Source organism: Homo sapiens, chromosome 7 (genome assembly GCF_000001405.40).
Source record: "Homo sapiens chromosome 7, GRCh38.p14 Primary Assembly".
Lineage (NCBI taxonomy): Eukaryota > Metazoa > Chordata > Mammalia > Primates > Hominidae > Homo > Homo sapiens.
In genome coordinates, this window is record NC_000007.14 from 73,721,514 (window position 1) to 73,745,832 (window position 24,319).

Sequence of the window (24,319 nt, forward strand, 5' to 3'; positions counted from 1 at the left end):
GCCAGCATCTTGTTGCAACAGTGGTCTCGCACACACCCCCATAAGCCCGCTGTGCCCTCCACCACCCCCAGCTGTCACTTCTGTGGCCCACACCCTCTTGACCTGAAGCCAAGCACATCCCTTCCCTTCCCCAGGACTGCCAAAGCATTGGAGCTCTGGAGCCAATCCAGCCCCCTGCTGCCCAGTGTGTCTGGGCCTGGCACCTCTCCCAGACTATGGGCACAGGTTAGCTGGCTGCCAGGCAAGCTAGGGACACTGTTCCAGCTTTCCCTTCTTCCCTGGAAAATCTGGCCCAAGACGGTCCGATGTGGCCTGGCAGAGGGAACAGCCACACCCTGTTCCAGTTGTCCCGGCTTCAACTTTGGGTGCCCTGCAGAATGGGCATTGATGGCGCCCCACTTCACAGAGGAAAAGTAAGGAGGTAAGTGCTAGAGGAACTTGCCCAGAGATGACAAGTGACAGGGGAGTCTGCCTGACTCCTGGTCTAGCCTGCAGGGTGAGTCAGTGGGGTGGGTCACAGGTATGCCCCCAGAGCCCAGTGTCTGGCCCCTTAGGGAGAGGGCAGGAAAGGGAGGCTCAGCTCCTGCCCTCTGAGAGCCCTGGTGTCACACCAAGCATCACTCATTGAGACGCATATTAAATAGTAGCATGAAAAATGAATAAAGAAATAAATGTGGCCAGGCACAGTGGCTCATGCCTGTAATCCAGCACTTTGGGAGGCCCAGGAGGGAGGATTGCTTGAGGCCAGGAGTTTAAGACCAGCCTGGACTCCATCTCTTAAAAAAAAAAAAAAAGTGTGCCTTTCACTTCTTTTTTTTGTTTGTTTGTTTTTTTAAGGCTGAGTCTCTTTCTGTCACCCAGGCTGCAGTGCAGTGGTGCAATCCAGGCTCACTACAACCTCCACCTCCCATGTTCAAGTGATTTTCCTGCCTCAGCTTCTTGAGCAGCTGGGATTACAGGCACCCGCCACCACGCCCAGCTAATTTTTGTATTTGTAGTAGAGATGGGGCGTCACCATGTTGGCCAGGCTGGTCTTGAACTCCTGACCTCAAATGATCTACCCGCCTTGGCCTCCCAAAGTGCTGGGATTACAGGTGTGAGGCACTGCACCCGGGCTTGCCCTTCTCTTTAAACTCTGTTTTTCTGCTAAGTCTTTTCCTCATTTAATCATTCATTCATTCATCAAACATTAAATGGGAAACCATGCTCTGGGGCCACTGTTCTGCACTCAAGATGTTCCCACTGCAGTGGGGGAGACAGACATGGTTTTGGTAGGTGAGGGAACCAGGGTGGCTTCCCAGAGGTGGTGACATTCGAACAGGGTGTTGCAGTGGGATTGCAGCAGGGAGTGGACAAAGGAAGGATGCTGGGGCAGGGGTGGGGGTGGGGAGCTCTCTAAAATGGAGCACTCTACCGGGAGCACCTCAGGAGCCTGCTGTGGCACTTGGGTGGACATAGGTGGGGGATGAGCCCAAGGAAGGGGGAGGCCTTGGATGCTAAACTATTGTGCAGAAAAGGGAAGCCCATCGAGGGCCAGATTATCATTCCTTTATTTATTTAGAGACCGAGTTTCACTCTTGTCATCCAGGCTGGAGTAAAATGGCACAATCTTGGCTCACTGCAACTTCCGCCTCCCGGGTTCAAGCAATTCTCCTGCCTCAGCCTCCCAGATAGCTGAGATTACAGGCATGTGCCACCACACCTGGCTAATTTTTTGTATTTTTAGTAGAGATGGAGTTTCTCCACCTTGGCCAGGCTGGTCTCGAATTCCTAACCTCAGGTGATCCACCCACCTCGGCCTCCCAAATTTCTGGGATTGCAGGCATGAGCTACCATACCCAGGCTTCATTCCTTCATTTAAAAAGTATTGGCCGGGCATGGTGGCTTATGCCTGTAATCCCAGCACTTTGGGAGGCTGAGGTGGGCGGATCACGAGGTCAGGAGATCGAGACCATCCTGGCTAACATGGTGAAACCCTGTCTCTACCAAAAATACAAAAAAAAAAAAAAAAAAAAAATTAGCCGGGCATGGTGGTGGGCGCCTGTAGTCCCAGATACTTGGGAGGCGGAGGCAGGAGAATGGCGTGAACCTGCGAGGCAGAGCTTGCAGTGAGCAGAGATCGCACCACTGCACTCCAGCCTGGGCGAAAGAGCGAGATTCCGTCTCAAAAAAAAAAAAGTATTTATTAGGCTGAGTGTGGTGGTGGCTCACACCAGTAATCCCAGCACTTTGGGAGGCCGAGGCAGGAGGATCGCTTGAGGCCAGAAGTTCAAGATCAACCTGGGCAACACACGGAGACCCTGTCTCCAAAGAAAAATATTTTTCTAAAAATTAGCTGAGCATCGTGGTGCACACCTGTACTCCCAGCTACTTAGGAGGCTGAGGTGGGAGGACTGCTTGAGCCCAGGAGTTTGAGCCTTCAGTGAGCCATGATTGTGCCACTCTACTCCAGCCTGGGCAACAGAGTGAGACCCTGTCCAAAAATATATACAAATAAAAAAGTATTTATTGAGCATCTACTATGTGCCCGCTATTCTAGATGTTGGGAATATGGCAGAAAAAAAGATGGACAAGCCCTTGCCCCCATGCAGTCTGTGGTCTAGTAAAGATGCCAAACACACAAATAAATAACATATATAATGGTGATGATATGCTACAAGGAAAGACGGGGTAGGAACTACTTACTGGGTTTGAGTGAGGAATTCCAGTTTTACTGGTACAGTTCAAGTTTTTTTTTCTTCTTCTTTTTTTTCTTTTTTCTTCTTTTTTTTTTTTTTTGAGACAGAGTTTTGCTCTTGTTGCCCAGGCTGGAGTGCAATGGCACGATCTCAGCTCACTGCAACCTCCGCCTCCAGGGTTCAAGCGATTCTCCTGCCTCAGCCTCCCTAGTAGCTGGGATTATAGGCATATGCCACCATGCCCGGCTGATTTTTTATTTTTAGTAGAGATGGGGTTTCTCCATGTTGGTCAGGCTGGTCTCGAATTCCCGACCTCAGGTGATCCGCCCGCCTCGGCCTCCCGAAGTGCTGGAATGAGCCACTGCGCCCGGCCTTTTTCTTCTTTTTTTTTTTTTAAAAGACAGGGTCTTGCTATGTTGCCCAGCCTGGAGTGCAGTGGCATGATCATGGCTCACTGCAGCCTGAAACTCCTGGGCTCAAGTGATCCTCTTGCCTCAGCCTCCCAAGTAGCTGGGACTACAGGTGCACACTAACACACCTGGCTAATTTTTGTTATTTTTTGCAGAGACAGGGTCTTGATATGTTCCCAGGCTGGTCTTGAATGCCTGGGCTCAAGTGATCCGTCTGCCTTAGCCCCCTGAGTAGTTGAGACTCCAGGCAAGCGCCGCTGCGCCCAGCTTCAATTCTAGATGATTTGGTCAGGGAGGTCCTTGATGAGAAGGTGGTATTTGAGTATATCTCTGAAGGAGGTGAGGGAGTGAGCCATGTAGGTATCTGGGGAAAAGCATTCTGGGTAGAGGGAACAGCAAGTGCAACAACCATGAGGAGGGAGCCTGCCTGGTGTGAATGACAAAACAGCAAGGAGGCGAGGAGGCCTGGAGTAGAGGAGGTAAGAGAATGCGCTCGAAGGAAGTGAGGCCAGGCCGGGCACAGTGGCTCACACCTATAATCCCAGCACTTTGGGAGGCCCCAGTGAACAGATCACTTGAGGCCAGGAGTTCGAGTTCCAGACCGGCAACATGGCAAAACTCTGTCTCTACTAAAAATACAAAAATTAGCCAGGTGTGGTGGCGTGTGCCTGTAATCCCAGCTACTTGGGAGGCTGAGGTAGGAGAATCGCTTGAACCCGGGAGGCGGAGGTTGCAGTGAGCCGAGATCCTGCCACTGCACTCCAGCCTGGTGACAGAACAAGACTCCGTCTCAAAAAAAAAAAAAAGGCTGGGGAAATGGCTTACACCTGTAATCCCAGCACTTTGGGAGGCTGAGGTGGGCGGATCACTTGAGGTCAGGAGTTTGAAATCAGCCTGGCCAACATGGTGAAACCCCATCTCTATTAAAAATACAAAAAACTAGCCGGGTGTGGTGGCAGGTTCCTGTAGTCCCAGCTACTTGGGAGGCTGAGGCAGGAGAATCGCTTGAACCGGGAGGCAGAGGTTGCACTGAGCCAGAATCGCGACACTGCACTACAGCTTGGGAGACACAGCAAGCCTCCGTCTCAAAACAAACAAACAAACAAACAAACAAACAAACAAGCAAGCAAGCAAGCAAGCAAGCAAGCAAGCAAGCAAGCAAGCAAAGCAAGCAAGCAAGCACAGGGCAAAGGCTGGGCATTTGGGAACTCCCAGAGCTCCCGGGCACAGTTTGGTGTTTCCATCCCATAGGCTGGGAGGGTTGGGGTGAGCCCAGGCCCGCTGCATCCCTGATGTTGAGCGCTGCTGCCACCTTCTGGGCAGGGCCGGTATTGCCTTGCCTTGCCTTGTACCTGTGTGGATGGTTGGCACGAAGACAGTCACCACCTGTCCTCCAGAACCTCTGGGGCTGGTAGGAAAGGCGCAGTGACAGTGACAGGACAACGATGAGGAGGCCCAGGGGCTGCTGGGGTCTGGAGGAGGAAGAGGAGGAAGCTTTTGTAGGATTCAGGAACAGACTTGTTCCTGGAGCATGGTTGTGGGGGCTGGGGAATGGGAAGGGCGGCTGACCCAGGCTGCATGGCTGTGTGTGTATGTGTATGTGTGTGTATCTGTGTGTCTGTGAATCTGTGTGTGTGTCTGTGAATCTGTGTGTGTCTGTGTCTGTGTATCTGTATGTCTGTGTGTCTGTGTATCTGTGTATGTCTGTGTGTGTATGTGTGTGTGTCTGTGTATCTGTGTGTCTGTGTGTGTTCTGTTTGTGTATCTGTGTGTGTCTGTGTGTCTGTGCATGTCTGTGTATCTGTGTGTGTGTGTCTGTGTATCTGTGTGTGTGTCTGTGTGTGTGTCTGTGTGTGTGTGTAGTTGAGATTCTCTTGTTGTTGCTTTCTTGGGTCTGGCAGGCTTATTCCCTTTTTATCCTCTCCTGGGAAGCCTGGCCCTGGTCCATTTTTTTTTCTTTTTGTAATTTAATTTTTAAAAATTGCAGGTTCCAAAAAAAAGAAAGAAAAAAAAATTACAGGGTCTTGCTATGTTGCCCAGGCTTGTGTTGAACTCCTGGGCTCAAGCCATCCTCCTGCCTCAGCCTCCCAAAGGGCTGGGATTACTGTGTTTGGTGCCCTGGCCTGTGCTTTATACAAAGCACTGGCCACCGAGTGAGTTGCCTGCCTCCTTTAACCCTTACTGTGACTCTGTCAGGGAGGCCCTCTACTAGCTGCATTTCACAGATGAGGACATTGAGGCTCCCAGAGGTGCATACAAAGTCATAAGCCTTGGGTGGCAGTGCTTAAATTGCCAGCCCTGCCAATCCCTGGTGTTGTGATCACCATGCCCAGCCCCGCAGCCCACCTGGTAGCTCTCTCTCCCCATCCCAGTTCACCATTAGCTGGGAACCGTCTCCTGGCTCAACCCCAGGCCTGGGCTCAGCCATCCTCGGGGAGCAGGAGAGGAGGAGGATGTGGGCGGCCAGGCAAGGAGTCCTGGTACTTAGTGTGTGACATTTGCATAGTGCTTTGGGATGAAATTCACTATATGCCTGAATGTAAATTTCTTTCCTCTTTTTCTGAATGAGATTTAAAAAAAATTTGTCCCAAATTCTAATTTAAACTTTTAGAGATACAGATGAATAATCAACTCCCTACTTATAATATTTAGTTAAATATTTAAAATTTAGACTTTAAAAATCCCATATTTTATTTAATTTTTATTTATTTATTTTTTTGAGATGGAGTCTTGCTCTTGTCACCCAGGCTGGAGTCCAATGGCACAATCTCGGCTCACTGCAACCTCTGCCTCCCGGATTCAAGCGATTCTCCTGCCTCAGCCTCCTGAGTAGTTGGGATTACAGGCATGCGCCACCACGCCAGGCTAATTTTGTATTTTTTTTAGTAGAGACAGGGTTTCTCCATGTTGGTCAGGCTGGTCTTGAACTCCTGACCTCAGGTGATTTGCCCGCCTTGGCCTCCCAAAGTGCTGGGATTACAGGCGTGAGCCACTGCACCCAGTGTTATTTTAATTTTTTTTTTTTTTTGAGATGGAGTCTCGCTCTGTCTCCCAGGCTGGAGTGAAGTGGCACGATCTTGGCTCACTGCAACCTCTGCCTCCCGGGTTCAAATGACCCTCTCACCTCAGCCTCCAGAGTACCTGGGATTACAGGCATGCACCGCTGCACCCGGCTAATTTTTTGTATTTTTAGTAGAGACGGGGTTTCACCATGTTGGTCAGGCAGATCTCAAACTCCTGACCTCAAGTGATCTGCCCACCTCAGCCTCCCAAAGTGCTGGGATTACAGGCGTGAGCCATTGCGCCTGGTCTAAAATCTTATATTTTAAAGAATAGTTTTATTTAGAAACATTGCTTTTCCACTCTTGTGGTTTGTGAAAGTTTATGCAAACTCTTTATTCGCATTTCTGCCTCCCATGGTCATTGTCATTGTTACGTGTCATCCCCTAGTGCCTCTTTCAAGTTCCCTAGTTTTCTCAAACACATCATCTTCGCTTTTGCTTGGAAACACAGCACTTTTTTATTTTTCTATTTTTTTTGTTTTGCTAACTCCTACTTGTGTGACACAGCACTTTTTGAGCTCATTAATGATGCTGTCACTGAAAATATCACTCCAAGTCATGAGAGTGATTAGGTTGGTTGTTTTTCATCTAAATGGTAGGTGAATATTTGTCATCTCCTTAGGGTAACCACAGAATTATGTAAAATAGCAATTGGGCTGGGTGCAGTGGCTCACACCTGTAATCCCAGAACTTTGGGAGGCCAAGGCGGGCGGATCACTTGGGGTCAGGAGTTCAAGACCAGCCTGGCCAACGTGGTGAAACCATGCCTCTACCAAAAATACAAAAAATTAGTCAGGTATGCTGGCAGGCGCCTGTAGTCCCAGTTACTTCGGAGGCTGAGGGGAGAATCGCTTGAACCTGGAGGTGGAGGTTGCAGTGAGCCGAGATCACACCACTGCACACCAGCCTGGGAAACAGAGTAAGACTCTGTCTCTAACATAAAATAAAATAAAACAGCAATCGCCTGTTCCTTCCTCATTTCCTCTCCCTGCTTAATTCTTCTCCACAGTACTTCTTACCATCTGATACGCTTGTTAATTTGTTTATGGTCTATGTCCCCTCCCTGGAATGTGAGCTCCATGAGCTCAAGGAGCTTTGTCTGTCTTGATTTACGTCTGCCACTTGGAAACATACTTTGAACACAGTAGGTGCTCAGTAAATATTTGTGGGCTGAACGAATGACTGTAAAGCTCTTAGAAAGATGTGCTAGTCTGACTGGGAGCCATGGTGCACGCCTGCCATCCCAGCACTTTGGGAGGCCAAGGTAGCAGATTACCTGAGCTCAGGAGTTCGTGACCAACCTGGACAACATGGTGAAACGTTGTCTCTACTAAAAATACAAAAATTAGCTGGGCGTGGTGGTGCCCGCCTGTAATCCCAGCTACTTGGGAGGCTAAGGGGTTAGAATCGCTTGAACCTGGGAGGAGGAGGTTGCAGTGAGCTGAGATTGTGCCACTGCACTCCTGCCTGGGCAACAGAGCAAGACCCTGTCTTGAAAAAAAAAAAAAAAAAAGGAAAGGGACCTGGGCACGGTGGCTTTCACCTGTAATCCCAGCACTTTGGGAGGCGAAGGCAGGAGGATCGCTTGAGCCCAGGAGTTTGAGACCACCCTGGGCACTATAGCAAGACCCTGTCTCTACAAAAAAAAAAAAAAAAAAATTAGGTCAGGCTTGGTGGCTCATGCCTGTAATCTTAAAACACTTTTGGAGGCTGAGGTGGGCAGATCACTTGAGGTTGGGAGTTCAAGACCAGCCTGGCGAACATGGCAAAATCCCATCTCTACTAAAAATACAAAAATTAGCTAGGCGTGGTGGTGCGTGCCTGTAATCCCAGCTACTCGGGAGGCTGAGGCATGAGAATCACTTGAACCTGGAGGCAGAGGTTGCAGTGAGCTGAGATCTTGCCACTGATCTGGCCTGGGTGACAGAGTAAGATTCTGTCTCAAAAAAAAAAAGAAAAAAAAATTGGTATGGTGGCGAGTGCCTGTAGTCCCAGCTACTCAGGAGGCTGAGGTGGGAGGATGGCTGGAGTCCAGGAGATTGAGGCTGCAGTGAGCCATGATTACACCACTGCACTCCAGCCTGGGAAACAGAGTGAGACCCTGTCTTAAAAAAAAATATATATATATATATAGTCCGGGTGCGGTGGCTCACACCTGTAATCCCAGCACTTTGGGAGGCCAAGATGGGTGGATCACGAGGTCAGGAGGTCGAGACCATCCTGGCTAACAAAGTGAAACCCCATCTCTATTAAAAATACAAAAATTAGCTGGGCGTGGTGGTGGGCGCCTGTAGTCCCAGCTACTCGGGGGCTGAGGCAGGAGAATGGCGTGAACCCGGGAGGCGGATCTTGCAGTGAGCCAAGACTGTGCCACTGCACTCCAGCCTGGGCAACAGAGTGAGACTCCATCTCAAAAAAAAAAAAAGAAAAAAAAATATAGTATATGGGGTCAAGAGTTTCAGACCAGCCTGACCAACATGGTGAAACCCCATCTCTACTAAAAGTACAAAAATTAGCTGGGTGTGGTGGTGCACGCCTGTAATCCCAGCTACTCAGGAGGCTGAGGCAGGAGAATCGCTTGAACCCAGGAGATGGAGGTTGCAGTGAGCTGAGATTGCACCATTGCACTCCAGCCTGGGCAAAATAGCAAGACATCGTCGCCAAAAAAAAAAAAAAAAAAAAAGGCAAGGATGAAACTTGTGCTTTTAGACTGGAATTTAAGGTGTAAATATAAACTATTTTTCCCCAGTTTATGTAGACAGATAAAATAAACAGATGTAAATATGTATGTTTATGTGTGTGTATAAATGTGTGTCCACTGAGTGGACCCTGGTGTAGAATGACCCTAATTGCATTGAATGTGCCTACCATGGAGATCCTGGTTTCTAAATACCATTCCTCCTTACAAAGAAACCAAGTATTCTTGAAGAAATGGAGAATTCAGGGCCGGGACAGGGAGAAACAAGATAAGCCTGAAATATCTTGCTGAGCCAGAAAGAAAGGAAGTGATTAAAGAACAACGGGGCTTGTCAAAATGACAAGAGGTCAGCAAGGGGCATCCACTGATCAAATCTGGGACAATTTGAGCATCAAAATAAATGACAGGAAAAAGCCTGTCATGGTGGCTCATGACTGTAGTCCCAGTTACTTGGGATGCTGAGGAGGGAGGATCGCTTGAGCCTGGGAGGTCAAGGCTGCTGTGAGCTATGATTGTGCCACTGCACTCCAGCCTGGGTGACACAGTGAGACCCTGTCTCAAAAAAAGAAAAGAAAAAAAAAGCATGGTTTGGTCTTGCTTTGTTTTTTTTGTTTTTGTTTTTTTGTTTTTTGAGCTAGAGTCTCTCTCTGTCACCCAGGCTGGAGTGCAGTGGTGCAATCTCGGCTCACTGCAACCTCCGCCTCCTGGGTTCAAGCGATTCTCCTGCCTCGGCCTCCTGAGTAGCTGGGATTACAGGCACCTGCCATCATGCCCGACTAATTTTTTGTATTTATCTTTTTTTTTTTTTTGAGACAGTCTCACTCTCTTGCCCAGGCTGGAGTGCAGTGGTGGCGCGATCTCTGCTCACTGCAACCTCTGCCTCCCGGGTTCAAGCGATTTTCTTGCCTCAGGCACCTGAGTAGCTGGGATTACAGGCACGCGCCACCATGTCCGGCTACTTTTTTAAATTTGTAGTTGAGATGGGGTTTTACTGTGTTGGCCAGGCTGGTCTCGGACTCTTGGCCTCAAGTGATCTGCCCATCTCGGCCTCCCAAAGCGCTGGGGTTACAGGTGTGAGCCACCGCGCCAGGCCGATTTTTTGTATTTTTAGTAGAGATGGGGTTTCACTATGTTGGCCAGGCTGGTCTCGAACTCCTGACCTCGTGATCAGCCTGCCTCGGCCTTCCATAGTGTTGGGATTACAGGCGTGAACCACCGCACCCAGCCAAAAAAAGCATCTTAATGAAGTGATGGACGTTGGTACTACCATTCATGGCTCCAATGGACATTTGGCTACAGTGAGAGCATAGCATCATTTTTGTGGTATTTCTGTCCAGAATGTGTCACGGTGGTCTCATCGTCAGGAAGGAGTGGACAAACCGAAATGGAAGGACAGTCTACAAAATAACTTCCCTGTAATCTCCGAAAATATTAAGGTCGTGAAACTCAAAGGCTGCAAATTGTTCTAGATTGAGAGAGAATACAGATGTCACAACTAGGTACAGGGTTTCACAACTTACCAGTTTTTTTTTTTTTTTTTTTTGAGATGGAGTCTCGCTCTGTCACCCAGGCTGGAATGCAGTGGTGCAATCTCAGCTCACTGCAACCTCCGCTTCCTGGGTCCTGGGTTCAAGCGATTCTCCTGCCTCAGCCTACTGTGTAGCTGGGATTACAGACCCACACCATCACGCCCAGCTAATTTTTGTATTTTTAGTAGAGACGGGGTTTCACCATGTTGGCCATGGTCTTGAACTCCTGACCTCGTGATCTGCCCACTGTGGCCTCCCAAAGTGCTGGGATTACAGGTGTGAGCCACAGCGCCCGGACAGTTTTTTTTTTTTTTTCACCTTAAAGGTTAAATTTTTTGGACATTGGAGAGCTGTTTTAAATTTGTTTTTGTTGTTGTTGTTTTGAGACAGAGTCTTCCTCTGCCGCCTAGGCTGGAGTGCAGTGGCATGATCTCAGCTCACTGCAACCTCCATCTCCCGGGTTCAAGTGATTCTTCTGCCTCAGCTTCCTCAGTAGCTGGGATTGCAGGCACCCACCACCATGCCTGGCTAATTTTTTTGTATTTTTAGTAGAGACAGGTTTCACTATGTTGGCCAGGCTGGTCTGAAACTCCTGACCTCATGATTGCCCACCTCGGCCTCCCAAAAGTGCTAGGATTACAAGCATGAGTCACTGTGCCCTGCCTATTTATGTATTTTAGAGATGGGTCTTGCTATGTTGCCCAGGCTGAAGTGCAGTGGCTATTCACAGGCAAGATCCCACTACTGATCAGCAAAGGAGTTTTGACCCCTCTGTTTCTGAGCTGGGCTGGTGCACCTCTCTTTAGGCAGCTTGGTAATCCCCTGCTCCTGAGAGGTCACCAAATTGGTGGTGAACTTAGTGCAAGTATAGCTATCTGCACTACAGGCATACTGCACTACAACCCGGAACTCCTGGACTCCAGCGATCCTCCTGCCTCAGCCTCCCAAGTAGCTGGGACTACAGACACTGCACCTGGTGACATTTACTGTTTGGAGCTGGGTTGAAGACCTAATCCCTAATATGCAACTTTGCTGACAAGACCTTTGCTGAAATGGAGATTTCTTTTTACACATTTATGAATATGTTGCTGGTATACTCCGGGTACTTGTGGAGGTGGTGGTCACCTCAAGGGAGGTGGGGGGTACTGAGACCCCTGGGGGCACAGCAGACCTACCCATGCTCTTGGATCAGAACGCTGGGAATATTAGAGGTAGTATTGAAGATGTTAGGAGGGCGGGGTGCGTTGGGAGGCTGACACTGGAAGTCAGGAGTTCAAGACCAGCCTGGGCACCACAGAGAGACCTCATGTCTACAAAACATTTTAAAAACATTTGCTGGGCATGGTGGTGAATGCCTTTAGTACCAGCTACTTCGAAGACTGAGGAGGGAGGATCCATTGAGCCCAGGAGTTTGAGGCTGCAGTGAGCTATGACTGTGCCACTGCACTTCAGCCTGGGCGACACATTGAGTCTAAGAACAAAAAATGTGGGCTGGGCATGTGGGTCACACTTGTAATCCCAGCACTTTGGGAGTTCGAGGCAGGCAGATCACTTGAGGTCAGGAGTTTGAGACCAGCCTGGCCAACATGGTGAAACCCCATCTCTACTAAAAAAAATACCAAAATTACCCGGATGTGGTGGCATGCACCTGTAGTCCCAGCTACTTGGGAGGCTGAGGCAGAAGAATCGTTTGAACTAGGAGGTGGAGGTTGCAAGGAGCTGAGATCTCACTGCACTCCAGCCTGGGTGACAGAGCAAGAGTCCATCTCAAAACACACACACACACACACACAAATGTGGCTGGGCGCAGTGGCTCATGCCTGTAATCCCAGCACTTTGGGAGGCCAAGGCGGGCGGATCACAAGGTCAGGAGATCGAGACCATCCTGGCTAACGTGGCGAAACCCTGTCTCTACTAGAAATACAAAAAATTAGCCGGGCGTGGTGGCGGGCGCCTGTAGTCCCAGCTACTCGGGAGGCTGAGGCAGATGAATGGCTTTAACCTGGGAGGCAGAGCTTGCAGTGAGCCGTGATCGTGCCACTGCACTCCAGCCTGGGCGACAGAGTGAGACTCCATTTCAAAAAAAAAAAAAAAAATTGAGTTGGGTGCTGTGGCTCACGCCACCGGCTCATGCCACTGGCTACTCGGGAGGCTGAGGCAGGGGAATCGCTTGAACTCGGGAAGCAGAGGTTGCAGTGAGCCAAGACTGCACCACTGCAGCCACTGCACTCCAGCCTGGCAAGAGAGTGAGACTCCGTCTCAAAAAAATACATAAATTAAAAAAAATTAAAAATGGCCAGGCGCGGTGGCTCACGCTTGTAATCCCAGCACTTTGGGAGCCCAAGGCAGGCGGATCACGAGGTCAGGAGATCGAGGCCATCCTGGCTAACACGGTGAAACCCCGTCTCTACTGAAAGTATAAAAAATTAGCCGGGCGTGGTGGTGGGCGCCTGTAGTCCCGGCTACTCGGGAGGCTGAGGCAGGAGAATGGTGTGAATCTGGGAGGTGGAGCTTGCAGTGAGCTGAGATTGCACCACTGCACTCCAGCCTGGGGGACAGAGTGAGACTCTGTCTCAAAATATATATATATATATATATAAAATAAAATGTGAGGAGGAATTTGTTAGGGATACACTTTTTTCCTTCTGTTTTTCTGCAGAGGTAAGGTTATATTTATATGTGTGGATGATGCCATTCAAGGTACCAAGCTAACCCTTCAGGATGGGGGCTGGGGTACCTTATGCCTCTCAGCATTGGAGACATAATGCCTTCTTCCCTCCTCTCCTTACCTCTCCCTCTCTTTTTGAGACAACGTCTTGCTCTGTTACCTAGGCTGGAGTGCAGTGGTGTGATCCTATGGCTCACTGCAGCCTTGAAGTGGGCTCAATAGATCCTCCTGCCTCAGCCTCCGAGTGCTGGGATGACAGGCATGAGCCACTGTGCCCAGCTCCGCCCTTTCTTTCACAAGACGTGGGTAGAGCACCCTCTTGTGGTGAAGGGAGGAAGGGGGCTGAGTGTGCTCTGGGCCTGGCCGGAAGTTTCTAGGATGCAGCAGGCCTTCCTCCTTGGCCTGGCAGGGGTGGGGCCTGCCAGGGAGTGCCTTGCTGGGAAGGGAGGGCAAAGGGCCATGTCTTTCGCTTGCTCCACCCAGCTGCCAAGAGTCCCAGTCACCAGGCCACCCTAAGTCCCAGCCCTTGAGGGTAAGTGTTCTTCTGAACACAGCTGCCTCGTCCTTCCCTGATGACTGGGTGAGAATTCTTTGCTCCCTGGAGGTCCAAATACCCTGCCCACGCTGCTTGCATTGAGGCCAGGCAGTGGCCACACCATCCACCTCCTCTTCCTTTCCATAGGTCCATGAGACTGGGGCAGCAGCAGGGGCAGGTACAGAGCACCTCAGCCGCCTCTCCACCTGACAGCAACATCAAAGCCGAGGCCAAGGCGGGAGGGCCCAGAGTGAGACACCTCTTCCAGACAAGACTTGGTCGCTGCCTCCTCCTCTGTCACCCTGCGACACAGCCCAGAGTACCAGGCGGCTGGAGCACTGGGGGACACCCGGACAGAACCCTCCCTGGACCAAGTCCTCCAGGAACGGGATGAAGCCATTGCCAAGTAAGGGGAAGCTGCTTTTGGGGGCTGGGAGGGGAGTTGGGGGCTCCCCTGCAGGGCCTTGTCCTGCTAATGGAGGAGCGGGGGGCTAGTCAGGCATTCTGGAAGGAAAGCCACACAACCAGCTGCCCTTCACTGAGGCGGGGGCTGTGGCCATACTCGTCCACCCCCAGGACCTCACAACCAGACCCACAGGGTCCGAGCCTCAGCTACTCTCTCTGCCACCCACAGGAAGCAGGCGGTGGAGGCGGAGCTGCAGAGATGCAAAGCCAGGCTACACGCCATGGAGGCCCAGCTGCTGGAGGTCCTGGAGGAGAAACTGAGGCTGAGGCGGGAGCTGGAGGCCTGGGAGGTAGGGGAATGCCATCAGGGCCTGGGAGGTGTGGGGAAAGAGGGCACAGGCTCAGCCTTGAACCTGCTCTCCTGTCCACAGGAGGACGTGCAGCAGCTGGTGTGGCAGCAGGTCCAGAATCAGCTGCAGAGAGAGGCCAAGGGTACTCGGGGAGCCCACGTGGACCCTGGAGCTGCCAGCACCCCCCGATCCAGATTCTCCCTGGGTCGGGGACGTTGGTGGTGACACAGACCTCAGCCCAGGACTTTGGGAGTAGTGTCTTTATTCATTAAAGCCTGAGGTCTGACCACCCCTGTAAAACCTCGTGCCCACACAGTGCCTGTCTGAGTCCTTCTGTGCCCAAATGTGGAGCAGGCTGCAGAGACTTGAAGCCTGGGGTTTTGTGCCTCCTTTTTGTTTTGTTTTTTTTGAGACAGAGTCTTGCTCTGTTGCCTAGGCTGGAGTGTAGTGGTGTGATCTCGGCTCATTGCAACCTCTGCCTCCAGGGTTCAAGTGATTCTCCTGCCTCAGCCTCCAGAGTAGCTGGGATTACAGGTGTGCACCACCACGCCAGGCTAATTTTTGTATTTTTAGTAGAGACAGGGTTTCACCATGTTGGCCAGGCTGGTCTCCAACTCCTGGCCTCAAGTCATCCTCCCGCCTTAGCCTCCCAAAGTGCTGGAATTACAGGCATGAGCCACCACGCCCGGCCATCTTCTTGCCAGCAACTCTTAGACCAGGAAGCCTCGGATGGCAGCTATGAAGTCCTGTGGGCGGTCAGCGTGGATCCAGTGGCCAGCGTTCGGCACCGTCTGCATCTGGGCCCGAGGGAAGAGCCGCATAATCTCAGGGTGGTGGCTGGGACTGTGCATCGCAGCGACGGCCATCAAAAACGGGTGAAAGTGGGATGAGGAGGAGTGAAAGAGACACGTGGAAGCAGAACGGGGAGAAATGGAGAGAGCTGTGTGAGCCCATATGCCCGGTGGTATTTCTGGCCTCTCAGCCACCCCCCTTCCACACCCAAGGCCTCCCCTGGTAGGGTCCCCAGGCTGGGGCCTGGGCGAGTAAAGCATGCCCCTCCTACTACCCAGGCTAGCTTACTGCACGAACTGGGAGTTTCCACCAAGGAGAAAGAGTGTTGGCCCGAGGTAGGACTCCTGCCTCTGTGGGAAAGCCAAGATCTTGTCTAGGTGCTGGGTCAGGGCATCCAAGTTCACCCTCCACACGAAGCGCCCGTCTACCTCTACCAGGTTAGTGAGCAGGTGCTGCCGCACGGCCATGTCCTGTGGGGGTGCAGCAGTTGGGGGAGGTTCCTTGTGCGGTCTGGGGGTGCCACTCTTCCCTTGACAGGTCCTGGTCTACAATACCATCCGGGGCACCTTGGGTGTATCACCTGGATGACAGAACTGAGCTGTTCATCCGCCAGTTTTCGGGCACGGGAGCGGGGCAGCTCATCTGCGATGTTGATGGCCCTCATGGCTGCCACATAGGTTGCAAAGTGGGAGACACCTGTGCTTTCCACTGGGCTGATATCTACAGCAATGAGACGTTCCACCAGCTCTGGCTGTGGGAGAGAACCGAACTGGGACCAGTCTTAGGCAGACATAGGGAGTCTCAGGCATGGCTCCTGGAGCCTGAACTTGGTCATCCAACGATCATGTGAGTCCCAGGTTGCCTGCAGGGCCCTCAGGGTATATACTGAATGGGAGGAGGCCCCAGACATGGGCGGCTCACCCTCTGTAGTGCCAGCAGCATGGCTGTCTTTCCTCCCATGCTGTGGCCAACGACGACGCAGGGCACCAGGCCCAGCTGGGGCAGAAGGTCCTGCAGGTCCTGGCTCATGATCTCGTAGCTCATGTCTGGGCTGTGGGGGCTGTCACCGTGGTTACGAGCATCCACCGTCAGCACCTGGGGAGTGGGGTGAGACGGGGCTGCGTTGATATCCCCATTCTGGGGGTAGACAGCCAAAGGCTTGTAGGGACAGCAGGTCAAAGGTGTGGAGAGCCTGGGGATACACCCTGTGGAGGGGAAGGGCCCAGTTTCCAGACCTAGGAGGCCCAGATGAAGAACCTGGGGCCACTCTGCCAGAGAAGAGCAGGCCCCAGGGTTGTGACCACGTCTCTGAAGGGCTGGCCTGGCTGGGTGGCAATCTCGGAGAATGCCAGGAAGGAGACTCCAGGAATTTCCAACAGTAGGAGCACAGAAGAATGGGCTGCCATAAGAGGTGGTGAGCTCCCGGTCATCCCTAGTGAACAAGCAGGCCCCTTCATGGAAAGGGTGCAGGCGCCTAGGCATGGGCCAGCCCCGATGGAGATCTACAACATGAATTAATGAAGATGGCAACGTGAGGGAATAAATGGGGTTGCCGTTCAGGGTCCATACTCAGAGTGAGGGATCTGGAAGTGAGCGTGAGAAGCGGGACCCCCCCTGCCCCGCCTCCTCTCAGGCCCCGCCCACTCCCGCCCAGCCCCAAAGGAGCCCCGCCCACTCGAAAGCTCACCCTACGGCCTGTCTGCTGGGCCAAGATCTTGGCGATGGAGTTGAAGTTAGTTTTGCTGCCGAAGAGCCCGTGCAAAAAGACGACGGCCGGGAGGGCTGCCTCCCCGTCCAGAAGCCTGTAGGAAAGCGGAAGCGGCCTGGCAGGGGAAGGATCGAGGTCAGAGTCTGAGCCGGCGGAGACGGGGAAAGGGGTAGGGGGAAAGAGCTTTGGGGGAGAGGCCTGGGAGGTGACAGGCCCAAAGGGAGGAGATGGGGCCGTCGGGGCCCGGCAGGAAAAGGAGGACAGAGGATGGCCTCCCGCCCGGTGCCCTTGACTGACCTCGGCTCGGCGCCCCCTCGGCCGCCGCTGCTGCTGCTGGGTGCGACAGGCACCCTCGCGAAGCTAGGGCCGTGGGGGCCGAGTCCCTCACGCGGGAGCCTCCAGGCTCGGGTCCAGCGGAGCATGCTTGCAAGCTGTTGGCCGGCTCGCATCTCACAAGGTACGTCCTCCCCGCGCTCCTTCTCCCGCCCTAGCTCGCAGCCCCGCCCATTTCCGTCTTCAGCCGCCCCGCCCAGTTCCGACTTGAGCCCCGCCCTCTCCCCGCCCCCATCGCGGGATTCTCCGCCCTTGGTCCCGTTTCCTTACGTATCCCCGAGAACAGTCCGGCCCCGCCTCCATCCCCGCCCCTTACGCCATTACGTAATCCCCGCAGGCTTTGCGCGGGTCGCCCTGAGCGCCGCACCTGGCCTCGCCCTAGGCTGGGCAACCCGCGGTGCTTGCCCCTCCCCTCGCGAAGCGCCGCGGTGCGTAGAATCTGGGAATTCGGTCTGCGCCGCTCTGTGCGTGCTCGGTTCTGGTTGCAGCTTAGGGCTCGGTTCCCGCCCCGCACCTGCCATCGCTCACTGACCTGGGTGGCTGCCATCGTTTCTGTGCCGCCGGCGGGGGCGAGCGGCGCCAGGGTGGCTCTGGGCGGCGGAGTGCCAGTGTGGTGGCGCCGTGCTCCACTGCCGGGGGCCCGGGCAGGTTGGGCGGAGCACGGACACCCACCCATCCTGGAGTCGTCGATCTAGAAGGAGCTCGGGGGCACTCTAGAGCTCTTCCCCAAGCCCCTTCGTCCCTTTTACGTTTGGGGAAGGCTCCCCCAGTCTGATCCCACCTGCTTTTCTGCCCATACTCCCCATTCTCATACTCCCCTATCAGGCACCCTGCCTTTCAAGGTCTTCTCCACACCCCACCTCCTGCTGGGGTGCTGTCTGTCTTCCAGATAGCCAGTTGCCCGAGTCCTATACTTTTTTTTGGTGGGGGTCTTACCCTCGCCCAGGCCGGAGTGCAGTGACGCGACCGTAGCTCACTGCAGCCTCGACCTCCTGGGCTCAAGCGATCCTCCCGCCTTTGCCTCCCGAGAATCTGGGACTACAGGCGCAGACTAATTTTAACATTTTTTTTTTTTTTTTTTTTTTTACTGAATCATGGTTACAATTTTTTTTTTTAGGCCGGGTGCGGTGGCTCACGCCTGTAATCCCGGCACTTTGGGAGGCTGAGGTGGGCAGATCACCTGAGGCCAGGAGTTGGAGACCACCCTGGCCAATATGGTGGAACCCCGTCTTTACTAAAAATACAAAAATTAGCTGGGCGTGGTGGCGGGTGCCTGTAATCCCAGCTACTCGGGAGGCTAAGGCAGGAGAGTCGCTTGAACTCAGGAGGCGGAGGTTGCAATGGGCGGAAATCATGCCACTGCACACCAGCCTACCGGACGGAGACAGACTCCGTTTAAAAAAAAAAAAAATTGCCGTGGGTGGTGGCACGGCCCTGTAATCCCAGCTACTGGGGAGGCTGAGGCAGGAGAATCGTGTGAACTTGGGAGATGGAGGTTGCAGTGAGCCGAGATCTTGCCACTGCATTCCAGCCTCAGTGACAGAGCGAGACTCCATCTCAAAAAAAAAATTTTTTTTTTAAAAAATAGAAGCGGGGGCTTGCTATGTTGCCCAGGCTGGTCTCGAACTCCTGGGCTCAAAGTGCTGAGATTACAGGCATGAGCCACCACACCTGGCCCAACAAAATTTTTTTTAGAGAAGGGGTCTTGCTACCTTGCCCAAGCTGGTCTCCAGCTCCTGGCCTCAAGCGACCTTCCTGTCTCAGGTATATGGCTTTTATTTTATTTTTTCTGAGACAGGGTTTCACTGCGTCACCCAGGCTGGACTGCAGTGGCACAATCACGGCTCACTGCAACCTCTTCCCCCTGGGCCCAGGCAATCTTCCTGCCTCACCCTCCCGAGTAGCTGGGACCACAGATGTGCACCACCATGTCTGGCTAATTTTTTTCTGTTTTGTAGAGATAGAGTCTTACTATGTTCTAGGCATAGCAAGGGGACAGTTTCAGGCTGGTCTGGAACTCCCAGACTCAACTGATCCTCCTGCCTCAGCCCCCTGAGTAGCTGGAATTACAGGTGTGCTCCACCATGCCTGGCCTCAGCTATAGGCCTTTTAAGGCATTGTATAACTGCTGCCTCCTCCTCAAGCCTTCGCAGACTTTCTGAGTTAAAACTAATCTCTTTCATGGAATGTTCTGGAAGCATTTCTCAGAGGCTACTGTGTAGTATTATAGAGGCAGCCCTCCCTGTGTGTCCACAGCGGGAGCTATGTCTTGTTCATCTGGTGCAAAGTGGTAATAGTCATCAAGAGCTTCAGGGCACTGGTAAATGCTTATGTGGAAGTCCTGCGGGTGGCTGGGTTAGTGGCCCTCCCGGATATGACACCTGGGCCAGCTAGTCTTACACTGACCCCTCCCCCACCTCCTTAGGGCGGTCCAGGACCTACAGGATGAGTCCTAACTTTTTTTTTAAAAAAATAATTAATTAATTAATTATTACTATTATATTTTGAGACGGAGTTTTGCTCTTGTTGCCCAGGCTGGAGTGCAATGGTGCGATCTTGGCTCACCGCAACCTCTACCTACTGGGTTCAAGCGACTCTCCTGCCTCAGCCTCCCGAGTAGCTGGGATTACAGGCATGCGCCACTACGCCGGCTAATTTTGTATTTTTAGTAGAGACGGGGTTTCTCCACGTTGGTCAGGCTGGTTCAAACTCCCGACCTCAGGTGATCTGCCCGCCTCGGCCTCCCAAAATGCTGGGATTACAGGTGTGAGCCACTGCGCCTGGCCATTAATTTTTTTTTTTTTTTGAGACAGGGTCTGGCTCTGTCATGGAGGCTGGAACCTGGCTCACTGCAACCTCTGCCTCCCGGGTTCAAGCAGTTCTCATGCCTCAGTCTCCCGAGTAGCTGGGACTACAGGCGCGCATCACCACACCTGGCTGATTTTTTTCTGTTTTTGGCAGAGACAGGATTTCACCATGCTGGCCAAGCTGAGGATGTGTCCTAACTCTGTAAAGCTCCATCTCCTGCTTAATGGGACCCTGAGGTGTTTGGTTCCAATCTGAGGAGGGCTGAGGTCACCGAGGACTCTAAGCACACCAGGTGGTGTGATCATGTTTCCCGCATAGTAATTAGGGGAGTGATGAGGACATCTGAGCCCTGTATGGGGGCTGGTCCCAGGCCTGGGAGGGGTCCTTGGAGAGTGTTTTTCTAGAGTTGGTGGGTGTTTTTCTAGAGTTGGTGGGTGTTTTTCTAGAGTTGGTGGGTGAAGGGCGTGGGGGTTGAAGATTCAGAACAATAGTATTTCAAAGGTGCTTTTTTTTGTTTGTTTGTTTTGAGAGAGTCTCTCTGTTGCCTATGCTGGAGTATAGTGGGACAATCTCAGCTCACTGCAACCTCTACCTCCCGGGTTCAAGCGATTCTCTTTTGCAGACTCCCAAGTAGCTGGGATTACATGTATGCGCCACCATGCCCGGCTAATTTTTGTATTTTTAGTAGAGACTGAGTTTCACCGTGTTGGGCAGGCTGATCTCAAACTCCTGACCTCAGGTGATCCTCCTGCCTCGACCTCCCAAAGTGCTGGGATTACAGGCATGAGCCACTGTGCCTGGCCTCAAAGGTGCTTTCAAATTGATCCCTGCCATACACCCCACCCTCCACCAGGTAATCTCAGCCTGGCCCAAGATCCCCACATCTAGGGGCAGAAGCAGCCTTGAGATATTTACTCAGAGTCCTGGGCCCCAGCCCTGATCAGGTGGCTGATGAAGGCAAGCAGAAAAACCAGTTGGTTTGATGTTTCCACTTGAACATTCCAGAGAAAGTGGTGGGGGCAGGGGAGGGGTCGTTGCTACCTGGGAATGGATCTGGGGGTGGTGTCATCCTGGGGGCTGCCCAGCCCTCTCAGCTTGTTAGGAACAGGCCAGGAAGCGTGCTGTTGGTTGGCGAAGGCCTCCTTCTAGGGGAGGCCAGAGGGGAGGACTTCCGGAGCCCCTGACATGTGGAGGTGAAGGTGGGAGGTGAAATGGACTATCGCTCTTTGGAGGTCGAGTGTACACTGCCCCATCCGTGTTCCCAGGCTTCCTGTGAAGTGGGAGGGTGCCGTCCTTATTCTGCTGATGAGGAAAGAGAGGCTTGGACGGCGAAGTAACCCAGCTCCAGGTCACTCAGCCAGTGCACAGCCCGGATTGTTTCCTTCACTGACTCCTAACGCAGTGCTCCGTGTATTTCATCACCACCCTTCAGGCCGTGGGGACCAAGGGCCGAAGGGGTGCGGCCTGAGGCGGCCGGGACACTGCGCCTAGGTGGCGCGGTGGCATTGAATGGGTTAAGGAGGGGAGGTGGCGGGTGTCCCTTAACTGCACCTGGCCCAGTATCGGTCACGTGGCCAGGGTTTCACCTGCCCCGCTGAGCAGGGACAATCAGGCTGCTTGTTTTGTGGCCGGTCGCCATGGTGACAGCAGCTTGCCAGGGGCGGTCATGGGGCAAATTCCTGCTGGCCAGCCGGGTGGGGCAGGAGTGTCAGCTGTGCTGGCACCAGTCGGGGCTTCCCGAAAGACCCCTGGAGCTTTCCCGTGGGGCTGTCCCTGGGGGGCCCCTATGTGACTCCGCTCGAAACCTCCTCCCATCTCAACCCCCACATCAGCCCAGCTTCTCTCCTCCCAGATTTTGAACCTGAGTTGATGTATTAAGCAGCCGGGATTTTCATATACGTTATTGTGTTTAATCCTCACACAGCAACCTTTCCCATGTGGGAATGGTAATCCCTGCAGGTCTGCTGCCGGCTGCGCCTCCCCTACTACTCACCCAACACTTTGAGAACACTGGCTCCTTCCTGCCTTGCTTCAACAAGCCCAGATCCATTAGAGCCTCTCACTGCACGCCAAGCACCTTCCTAGACGCAGCCGTGAACAAAACAACAAATTAATCTCACAACAAAGGATTATGTCCGAGTATTTATTTTCTTCGGAACAGGTTAGGTTGGCCCCAGTCATCCAGAGAAGGTGGGGACGGTACAGGATCAGGCCAGGGCTCTGGTATCCAGAACATCTCCACAAGCTCTCTCTGCCACCTCCCTGCCTCACCCGCACCTGCTGCCCACCAAGCCTTCCCACGGATTGTCCACAGATTCCCACCAGCCCCACAGATTCTCCTGCTTCCAGTCATTGCTCCCTCTGCTCCCTAACCTCCAACAGGCCCTGCTGACAGTAACAGTTGTCAATTTTTTTTTTTGAGATGGAGTCTCGCTCTGTCACCCAGGCTGGAGTGCAGTGGCACGATCTTGGCTCACTGCAACCTCCACCTCCCAGGTTCAAGCGATTCTCCTGCCTTAGTCTTCAGAGTAGCTGGGATTACCGGCACGCACCACCACGCCCAGCTATTTTTGTATTTTTAGTAGAGACAGGGTTTCACCGTATTGGCCAGGCTGGTCTCGAACTCCTGACCTCAGGTGATCCACCCGCCTCGGACTCCCAAAGTGCTGGGATTACAGGCATGAGCCACTGTGCCCCACTGGTTGTCAACTATTTTTTTCTGCCTCCTGATTCTGTGGAAGACCCAGTGTCTCCCAGGAACAGTCTCATCACATGTACAGATTCTTTCTTTTTTCTTTTTTATTGAGACAGGGTCTGGCTGTTGTTGCCCAGGCTGGTCTCAAACTCCTGGGCTCAAATGATCCTCCTGCCTCGGCCTCTCTAAGTGCTGGGATTACAGATGTGATTCTTAAAGTGGCAGGGTGAGGACACCTTCCTTTTTGGAATGAATGGAGGATGGTGAGAGAGTCTGTGTATTTTGACACCCAGCAACCTCTACCCCACTTGCCTGCAGGATACAGCTCAGTCTCCTCTGTCTGCATTTTGGTGTCTTTATTTTATTTATTTATTTATTTATATATTTATTTATTTATTTTTATTATTATTTTATGAGGCAGAGTCTCGCTCTGTCCCCCAGGCTGGAGTGCAGTGGCGCGATCTCAGCTCACTGCAAGCTCCGCCTCCTGGGTTCACACCATTCTCCTGCCTCAACCTCCCGAGTAGCTGGGACTACAGGTGCTCACCACCATGCCTGGCTAATTTTTTTGTATTTTTAGTAGAGACGGGGTTTCACCATGTTAGCCAGGATGGTTTCGATCTCCTGACCTTGTGATCCGCCCGCCTCGGCCTCCCAAAGTGCTGGGATTACAGGCATAAGCCACTGCGCCTGGCTTTTATTTATTTATTTTGAGATGAAGTCTCACTCTGTTGCCCAAGCTGGAGTGCAATGGCACGATCTCGGCTCACTGCAACTTCTGCCTACTGGGTTCCAGCAATTCTCCTGCCTCAGCCTCCTGAGTAGCTGGGACTACAGGCATGAGCCACCATGCCCAGCTAATTTTTGTATTTTTAGTAGAGATGGGGTTTCACTATGTTGGCCAGCCTGGTCTCGAACTCCTGACCTCGTGATCTGCCTGCCTTGGCCTTCCAATGTGCCGGGATTACAGGAGTAAGCCACCGCGCCTGGCCCTGGTGTCTTTATTTTTTTGAGACGGAGTCTTGCTCTGTTGCCCAGGCTGGAATGCAGTGGTGCAATCTCAGCTCAATGCAATCTCTGCCTCTCAGATTCAAATGATTCTCTTGCCTCAGCCTCCTAAATAGCTGGGACCACAGGCATGCACCACCACACCCAGCTAATTTTTTTGTATTTTTAGTAGAGATGGGGTTTCACCATGTTGGCCAGGATGGTCACCATCTCTTGACCTCGTGATCCACCTGCCTCGGCCTCCCGAAGTGCTGGGATTACAGGCATGAACCACCGCCCCCCACAGGTTCTGTTTATTTTTATCCCTTAAATAGCTCTGATTCCTTTTTAAATTTTATTTATTTACTTATTTATTTATTTAGAGACAGAGTCTTACTCTGTTGTCCAGGCTGGAGTGCAGTGGTGAAATCTTGGCTCACTGCAACCTCTACCTCCTGGGTCCAAGTGATTATCTCGTGCCTCAGCCTCCCAAGTAACTGGGATTACAGGTGTGTGCCACCACACCTGGCTAATTTTAGTATTTTTAGTAGAGCTGAGGTTTCACCATGTTGGCCAGGCTGGTCTCGAACTCCTGACCTCAGGTAATCTGCCTGCCTCTGCTTCCCAAAGTGCTGGGATTACAGGCGTGAGCCACCACGCC

General features: G+C 52.5%; 1 protein-coding gene and 2 pseudogenes across 12 annotated transcripts, besides 11 other annotated features; 1 reads left to right on the plus strand and 2 right to left on the minus strand.

The window, feature by feature from the left end:
* On the minus strand, window positions 11,056–11,355 carry RN7SL265P (RNA, 7SL, cytoplasmic 265, pseudogene; annotated as a pseudogene).
* Window positions 13,246–13,540: an enhancer, noted in NCBI's record as "tiled region #8580; HepG2 Activating DNase unmatched - State 12:CtcfO, and K562 Activating DNase unmatched - State 25:Art". NCBI's record gives its function as "activates a minimal TATA promoter and a strong SV40 promoter by Sharpr-MPRA in HepG2 and K562 cells {active_cell/tissue: HepG2 | K562}" and the evidence as "EXISTENCE:reporter gene assay evidence [ECO:0000049][PMID:27701403]".
* Window positions 13,432–13,481: an enhancer, noted in NCBI's record as "active region_26128". NCBI's record gives its function as "activates an Ori minimal core promoter by ATAC-STARR-seq in GM12878 lymphoblastoid cells {active_cell/tissue: GM12878}" and the evidence as "EXISTENCE:reporter gene assay evidence [ECO:0000049][PMID:35858748]".
* Window positions 13,492–13,671: an enhancer, noted in NCBI's record as "active region_26129". NCBI's record gives its function as "activates an Ori minimal core promoter by ATAC-STARR-seq in GM12878 lymphoblastoid cells {active_cell/tissue: GM12878}" and the evidence as "EXISTENCE:reporter gene assay evidence [ECO:0000049][PMID:35858748]".
* BICDL3P (BICD family like 3, pseudogene) lies at window positions 13,556–14,487 on the plus strand (annotated as a pseudogene). The gene is made up of 4 exons (NR_026690.1): window positions 13,556–13,577; window positions 13,728–13,986; window positions 14,215–14,335; window positions 14,417–14,487. The product of NR_026690.1 is annotated as a BICD family like 3, pseudogene (transcript).
* A 93-nt stretch (window positions 14,488–14,580) lies between these two features.
* On the minus strand, window positions 14,581–17,289 carry ABHD11 (abhydrolase domain containing 11). 11 transcript variants are annotated; one of them, NR_169872.1, is made up of 6 exons: window positions 17,133–17,289; window positions 16,820–16,950; window positions 16,049–16,222; window positions 15,708–15,878; window positions 15,416–15,597; window positions 14,581–15,178 (listed from the first exon to the last, which is right to left on the minus strand). NR_169872.1 is itself a non-coding variant. In NM_148913.4 (6 exons), the coding sequence occupies exons 1-6, from the start codon at window positions 17,255–17,257 to the stop codon at window positions 15,046–15,048; spliced, it is 900 nt and encodes a 299-aa protein (NP_683711.2). In that variant the 5' UTR covers window positions 17,258–17,289; the 3' UTR covers window positions 14,581–15,045. The 11 variants fall into 11 exon arrangements, 9 of the variants coding, with proteins under 9 accessions (NP_683711.2, NP_683710.2, XP_047276840.1 ...); NM_148913.4 differs by having other exon boundaries at window positions 16,815–16,929; NM_148912.4 differs by having other exon boundaries at window positions 16,815–16,950.
* Window positions 17,088–17,745: an enhancer, noted in NCBI's record as "H3K27ac hESC enhancer chr7:73152931-73153588 (GRCh37/hg19 assembly coordinates)". NCBI's record gives its function as "activates a minimal SCP1, AML or CMV promoter by ChIP-STARR-seq in primed H9 embryonic stem cells {active_cell/tissue: H9 hESC(primed)}" and the evidence as "EXISTENCE:reporter gene assay evidence [ECO:0000049][PMID:30033119]".
* Window positions 17,310–17,409: a silencer, noted in NCBI's record as "silent region_18265". NCBI's record gives its function as "represses an Ori minimal core promoter by ATAC-STARR-seq in GM12878 lymphoblastoid cells {active_cell/tissue: GM12878}" and the evidence as "EXISTENCE:reporter gene assay evidence [ECO:0000049][PMID:35858748]".
* Window positions 17,746–18,402: an enhancer, noted in NCBI's record as "H3K27ac hESC enhancer chr7:73153589-73154245 (GRCh37/hg19 assembly coordinates)". NCBI's record gives its function as "activates a minimal SCP1, AML or CMV promoter by ChIP-STARR-seq in primed H9 embryonic stem cells {active_cell/tissue: H9 hESC(primed)}" and the evidence as "EXISTENCE:reporter gene assay evidence [ECO:0000049][PMID:30033119]".
* Window positions 20,626–21,160: an enhancer, noted in NCBI's record as "H3K27ac-H3K4me1 hESC enhancer chr7:73156469-73157003 (GRCh37/hg19 assembly coordinates)". NCBI's record gives its function as "activates a minimal SCP1, AML or CMV promoter by ChIP-STARR-seq in naive H9 embryonic stem cells {active_cell/tissue: H9 hESC(naive)}" and the evidence as "EXISTENCE:reporter gene assay evidence [ECO:0000049][PMID:30033119]".
* Window positions 20,626–22,204: a biological region, named in NCBI's record as "P300/CBP strongly-dependent group 1 enhancer GRCh37_chr7:73156848-73158047".
* Window positions 21,005–22,204: an enhancer, noted in NCBI's record as "P300/CBP strongly-dependent group 1 enhancer chr7:73156848-73158047 (GRCh37/hg19 assembly coordinates)". NCBI's record gives its function as "activates an origin of replication core promoter dependent on BRD2, BRD4, P300/CBP, MED14 and CDK7 cofactors, with strong dependence on P300/CBP, by STARR-seq in HCT116 cells {active_cell/tissue: HCT116}" and the evidence as "EXISTENCE:reporter gene assay evidence [ECO:0000049][PMID:35650434]".
* Window positions 21,161–21,694: an enhancer, noted in NCBI's record as "OCT4-NANOG-H3K27ac-H3K4me1 hESC enhancer chr7:73157004-73157537 (GRCh37/hg19 assembly coordinates)". NCBI's record gives its function as "activates a minimal SCP1, AML or CMV promoter by ChIP-STARR-seq in naive H9 embryonic stem cells {active_cell/tissue: H9 hESC(naive)}" and the evidence as "EXISTENCE:reporter gene assay evidence [ECO:0000049][PMID:30033119]".
* Window positions 21,489–21,608: a silencer, noted in NCBI's record as "silent region_18266". NCBI's record gives its function as "represses an Ori minimal core promoter by ATAC-STARR-seq in GM12878 lymphoblastoid cells {active_cell/tissue: GM12878}" and the evidence as "EXISTENCE:reporter gene assay evidence [ECO:0000049][PMID:35858748]".